Consider the following 5,722-nt stretch of genomic DNA (forward strand, 5'->3'; position numbering starts at 1 on the left):
GGCCTGGGAGAGAAAAGTTGATTAAAAGGCTGTTTTCTCAGAGCAGGTCTTGCAATCTGTTGGAAGCAGAGAAGTGGAGAGTGCCAGGCTTCAAATCTCGGATGCACCACTCACTGGATGTGATTTGGGACAAGTTACTTAACCTCTCTGGGCTTCAGTTTCCACATCTGTAGTTGCTAGAGCTTTCTTGATCTTTCAAAAAAGTGTCAGGAACTGTGGTTTTCCACAAAGCCACCATGACTTCTGCCTGGCTGACAGCAGTTGCAAGATGCCATTGACTATGCCCTGATTTCAGAGAGGCTAAAGTGAAAAAAAAAATGTGCATCTTAGAACCAACGAAATAGTGTAGTATCTACCCATAGAGTTGCTGTGAGAATTACATAACTTAAAATATGCGTAGCGCCAAGAGCAGTGACTGGCACATAGCACCATCTGTGTGTTAGCTATTTGGCTACTGAAGAGAAGAATGGCATTGATGAAGATCTCTGAGGAATGGACGATGAAATGACTCACTCTCCATGGTTCCGCTCTGTAGAACAGGAAATCAACTGTCCAGGGAGGTGCAGTCCCAGCCCCTCTTTCATCCAGACGTATAATGTGCCATGTGACTAATTCTCACCAATGGTATATGGGGGTCTCTTCTGAGCTAAGGGATTATGAAAAATAGTGTGCCTTCTCCACATCCTGCCCATCCACTGGATAATGGAGAGGCCTCTGAGACCCTGTGGGACAAAGGAGCGGCAAGAGGGAAGAAACCAGGATCCCTGAGTCACCACGTGGAGGAAAGTCCTCGGTCAGCCAATAACTCCTACCTTGGATGGCCGTATAAGTGACAGACGAACTACAGTTGAATGAGGCACTGAAATTCAGGGGTTAATTTATGCCAGCACCTTAACTAAACACACACCAATGTGGGCAGCTGTGGGGAGGAAGGGCACCTGTGGTGGGAGCTTGGAGAAATGGAAGAGTGCAATGAACTACAAAGTCAAGGGCTCGCTCAGCATATGCCAGTGCCTCAGAAAACAGTTGACAACATCCAGCCCACCACTCGCCTCCCCAACGCAGTGCTGACTTTATATTGAAGTCTTCATCAACAGACCATTCATTCAACATGTAATACATCTCTACCATGTGTTAGCACGAAGTCCCAGCATGACGGGGCTCTGCTGGGTGTGGTCCCAGCACGGCCCCCCGTCCTGTGGTCAGGCCCCCTCCCCGCAGCCCATACATCATCCTGATGTGCAGAAGAGACCCCATTAATCACAACACCTCATTTGCCAATGTGACTTCCTCGGCTGTGTTCCGCCAGGGAGGGAGGCCCTGCCGTCCTGCGGTGGGTGGGTGGCTGTCCGGGACGGCAGCCTGCACCCTGCAGATGGACAGCATGGCTTCCAAGCCTCAGTTCTGGGCCCTAGAGACAGGCTTCCGGGGGCATCTGTCTGTGATGGGGTCACGGAGGCAAAGCTGAGAGGTTTCCTCAGGAAGCTGTCAGGAGACCAGGGGCTACTCCAGCTCCACCTGGAAGGTTGCAAAACCCCAGCAGCACTACCTGAAGTGAGCTCTGAGTTTTATTTCTTTTTTGTTTAAAAAAATAAAAAATCCAAACACAAAAGGGTTTGTCTGCATTTTCATTCAGTATGTGAATATCAAGATTAAATGGCCTGCGGCTGCTCCTCTGTTCACCTCTCAGATCATAAAACCTCCACAGTGACTGAAAGCAGGAGCCCATCAAGTGGCTTTCTGTTTCCCGCTCTGTCTCCCCAGGGCGAGTTACAAGGAGTCCAAGTTACAAAGTGCAGGCTCCAAGTGGCCTGGCCCCAGGTGGCCTCAGAAGTCCCTGGAATGAGGTTCTCAGAATCCCAGGGCCACAATTGAGTGTGACAGGTTGACCCACGTGGATCCACATTTTCCAAGGTGCCCCTTCTAGGCGCCCAGGCAGGGAGCTGCTGAGCAGCCCCTTTCCCCAACCCCAGCACTTGCCTGGTCCAGCGGGTGGGCTCTAGACAGGGAGCTGGAAGGACTGTCCAGAAGAGAGTGGCCCCGCCTGCTGGTGAGATGAGCCCCTCTCATGCGAGCTCCGTCTCCTCTCACCCCTCCCCAGGATGGCTCCACTGCAAGCCCTTCACAGTGATTCGCACCCATGAGCATTTTACCCAACAAAATGTTACAACCTGGGAAAGATGAATTTGCTCCAAAATACAAAAGAGAAAAATTGGAGATAATAAATATTTAATGAATGCATTCAAATTTTATTAATTGTTCAATTTCATCCTCATGAAAGTTTCTTTCCATTTGAAAACAATTTGTACCTTCGATTTTCTCGCCTTGTACGGATGTCTGGGTCTGATGATGGCTGGGAAGTCGGAGCCAATCGTAAACTAAGCGAGTAAACTTAAGCCAAATAATTTCAAAAGCAAAATTATAAAAATTCTTTCCAAGTATTTTATAGCAAAATAATTCCATTTAATGTGGGATGTGGGTGCATTTTAATTCTTTTATATACTCTGGGGTGGGACCTACAAAAGTTAGACTGTCTGGTTCCCAGGAAGGCCCCACTGCTTTCCCTCTTCCTTTCCTCTCTCCCTCCCTCTCTCCTCCTTTTCTCTTTGCTCCTCAAAATCCTTTCCCTCTGCAGTTTTAAGGAAGTATCAAAGAATCTCCTGCCAAAAATGTTAATTTTTATAAAGATTGATTTGTTACATTTCTGAGGTCTCTCCTGGAGAGAGTCACTGGTGCTGATAGGGATTGCTATTTTTTGTCTCTTCCAGTCCCTCAGCTATTCTTACGAACAACAGTCCACTGCAGTGGACACTTCCTCACAGCAGAAGAGCTGAGGAAACTGCCCCTGGCTCCTCTGTGGCTGGCTGGCCACCTCACTCCGGCTGTAGGGTACTGGGCTAACGCCGTAGGGCATGGAGTCAGTGAATTTGGAGATAAGCCTAAGGGCTCAGCCAGCAACCAATCCATATGCAACCTGCGGTTTGGCTGACAGGCCCTTTTTCAACCAGACAGGTTGGTCACCCAGCAGCCTAGCACCTTTTTGCCAAAATGCTCGGCACCCCCAGGGCTCACGGATGGCCTCCTGTCTCCCAGGAAAACTTGCCTTGAGCACCTGAGTGACTCATGGGGCGGACTCATGAGATGCGGCCCATAGACCCCTCAGCAGGCCTGGCCATTCACAGAACCTAGGGTGCGGCTGAGAGAGCTCCTGGCTCAGGAGAGAGGACCCAAGGATACTCTCTGGAGGCCCACCTGGGACCTTCTCTAACAACCCTGGGGAGGGCCAGTTGTCTCAGCCTGGGGGAGCAAGTTCCAGATTATTTTCCAAGGGCCTCCTAGGAACTTAGCTACACCTAACTCTGCAGTTCCCCTTGCCAGGCCCCTCACCCCCTGTACCCCAAATGGCAACTCTTGAACAGCCCTGCTCTGCTGCCTCAGCCCAGAGTCTCTGTTCCAGCAGCCTCCTCCTGCACTGCTCAGGGCCCCAGCCCCACACCTGGCTAACTCTCCTGTCTTCTTCAACACTGAGCTAAGTTGCCACCTCTTCCCAGCTCCTTCTAAGGTACCAGGAAGGCTTCCCCAATCAACTCTCCTCTCCCCCAGGCCAGACTGATATATAGATAGATGATGATGATGATAGATAGATAGATAGATAGATAGATAGATAGATAGATAGACAGACAGATAGATAGATAGATAGATAGATAGACAGACAGATAGATACATATATACATACATAGATTTAATTGTCACCTCCATCAGACTGTTAGGACACATAGGGAGCATTATCTGTCACTGTGCTGCCCCCATTCCCAGCACAGAGTTGGGCACACAGTAATGATGGATGGGTGGATGGATGGATGGTTGGAGGAGGGCAAGTCTTGGGTCGAGCAGGAAGCTGGCAGATGTCCAGGGGTCTAGAATTAATTGCCAGCAGCTGCTGTCTTCAAACCTCCCCTGGATAGTGTGGGCTTTTGTGAGGCCCAGCGACGAGGCTTGGGGGCCAGATGATTTCCAGTTTTGCTCTGCCCCTCTTCTATCATCTTTTGGGTGACAAGTGTGAGTGTGTTCTCATCTAACCAGGAATATGAGGCCCCAGACCATCTGTCAGCCAGCACGAGCTCTGCCCTTCCTCCCCAGCAGCAGGGACAGGATGGAGAGGGTATGCTGTGATGATTAAGGAGCAGCCTCCAGTGCCAGGCCACCTGAGCGCCAGCCCTGCTCCACCACCTGCTCACTGTGTAATTTGGGGTACATTATTTTACTTTACTGTGCCTCGGGTGAGAGTAGGACTTGCTTTGCTGAGTTGCTGTGTGGATTTAGATAAGTTGATATGCACAAAGTGCTCACACTAGTTCCTGGCACATAGTAAGGAATGTGTGGTTCTAGTGCCCGTAATGCTAAGCCAGGCCCCCAGTCACCAGCCTGAAGCAGGGTTGTGGTCAATGTGAGGTCGGTTAGCATCAGTCTGAATTCAGGGTCAAGATGTGGCTATAGTTCCACCATATGTGGTTTGGGGTCTCCCGAGACATGCTTAGCAAGTTCCTCATTAAGCCATGAACACCCCCTTCAGGAGGTAGGCAGATGTTCTGGCTGCAGGGTGTGCTGGGGACAGAGGTGGTCTCCCCGCTTGCCAGCCCAGCATCCTCCGTGCCAGCCCATCCCAGGGAGGGGCCCAGAACCCTCCTCACAGCCAGCTCCACGTGGCCGTGAGCACCAGGCACTGCCAAGGGCAGGCCCAGGCCCTGGCCATGCAGCACGTGGGAAACACTGGGCCTGTTGCCATGGTCCCTGCCCAGGAACAAGCTAAGTACCTACTATCCGCCTGCCAGGAGGAAGGAAGCCATATTCTGTTCTGGAAATGTCAAGTTGCTCCCCTACCCCTCAGCTCTGCACCATGCAGTGCCTGCCCCAGATAAGCCAGGCAGCTCTGCCCTAGGCCTCCACCTCCACAGCCCTAAAACCAGGCCTGGGGACTAATCAGAAGCAAAACCTACTCCAATTTCCCTTCCACCCAAAAACTGTCGGGACTTCTGTGTGATAAGAAAAGTCTGTGGGAATAAGGATATAGTGACACAGTATAGAGTGGCTTTTCTAAGGCTTGCTTTCTAGGAACCTGACAAACAACAAAATATGAGCAGTTCTATCCGCACATCAAACCTGGCTAGAACCTCAAGACCCAGTTTGGTCTTCTCCAGAAAGCCTTCCCTGATTGCACCAACCCACTATGCCTTCCTTTTCTCAATTCTGTCTGCAACTGTTCTAAATTAGCCCCTAAATAAGCACATTTGACTAGGCCAGAGGCCAAGCTGAGGGCAGCAGGAGGGGTGGGAGCAGACGCCCTCCCTGCACTAATGCTGTTCTCAGGTGGTTCCCACACCTGGGCCTCCCCATTGCCTCTCAGCTTGCCTGCAGCAGGCAAAAAGCAGCTGGCTGCTTATCCCCACCGGAGCACACATTCAGAACCATTTGTCAGCCTCGGAGTCTTCCCAAACCCAGCACTTGGGGGCAGGGGCAGGGGCGTAGGAAACCCAGCTGATCTGCAAACATACACAGAGCCTGCAGCCGGTCTTTCCTCTGCTCGCCCAGGTAGGAACCCTAGAGCCTTTGTGCTTGGAGGACTTGGAGAGGCTCCCTCCTCAGCTCCGTGTGTCCTGTGAGCAAAACTGCAATCCATGCAGGACCAATGGAAGCTGGTCCATCTCTTCTTGAAGCTGGCCCA

At 51.2% G+C, this 5,722-nt stretch overlaps 3 annotated features.

The window, feature by feature from the left end:
* Positions 794 to 1,295: an enhancer, noted in NCBI's record as "H3K4me1 hESC enhancer chr2:72120471-72120972 (GRCh37/hg19 assembly coordinates)". NCBI's record gives its function as "activates a minimal SCP1, AML or CMV promoter by ChIP-STARR-seq in primed H9 embryonic stem cells {active_cell/tissue: H9 hESC(primed)}" and the evidence as "EXISTENCE:reporter gene assay evidence [ECO:0000049][PMID:30033119]".
* Positions 1,296 to 1,795: an enhancer, noted in NCBI's record as "H3K4me1 hESC enhancer chr2:72120973-72121472 (GRCh37/hg19 assembly coordinates)". NCBI's record gives its function as "activates a minimal SCP1, AML or CMV promoter by ChIP-STARR-seq in primed H9 embryonic stem cells {active_cell/tissue: H9 hESC(primed)}" and the evidence as "EXISTENCE:reporter gene assay evidence [ECO:0000049][PMID:30033119]".
* Positions 5,309 to 5,490: a silencer, noted in NCBI's record as "fragment chr2:72124986-72125167 (GRCh37/hg19 assembly coordinates)". NCBI's record gives its function as "represses an EF-1alpha promoter that drives an FKBP-Casp9 reporter gene in an ReSE screen in HepG2 liver carcinoma cells {active_cell/tissue: HepG2}" and the evidence as "EXISTENCE:reporter gene assay evidence [ECO:0000049][PMID:32094911]".

The sequence above is a fragment of the Homo sapiens genome, chromosome 2 (assembly GCF_000001405.40).
Source record: "Homo sapiens chromosome 2, GRCh38.p14 Primary Assembly".
Classification (NCBI taxonomy): domain Eukaryota; kingdom Metazoa; phylum Chordata; class Mammalia; order Primates; family Hominidae; genus Homo; species Homo sapiens.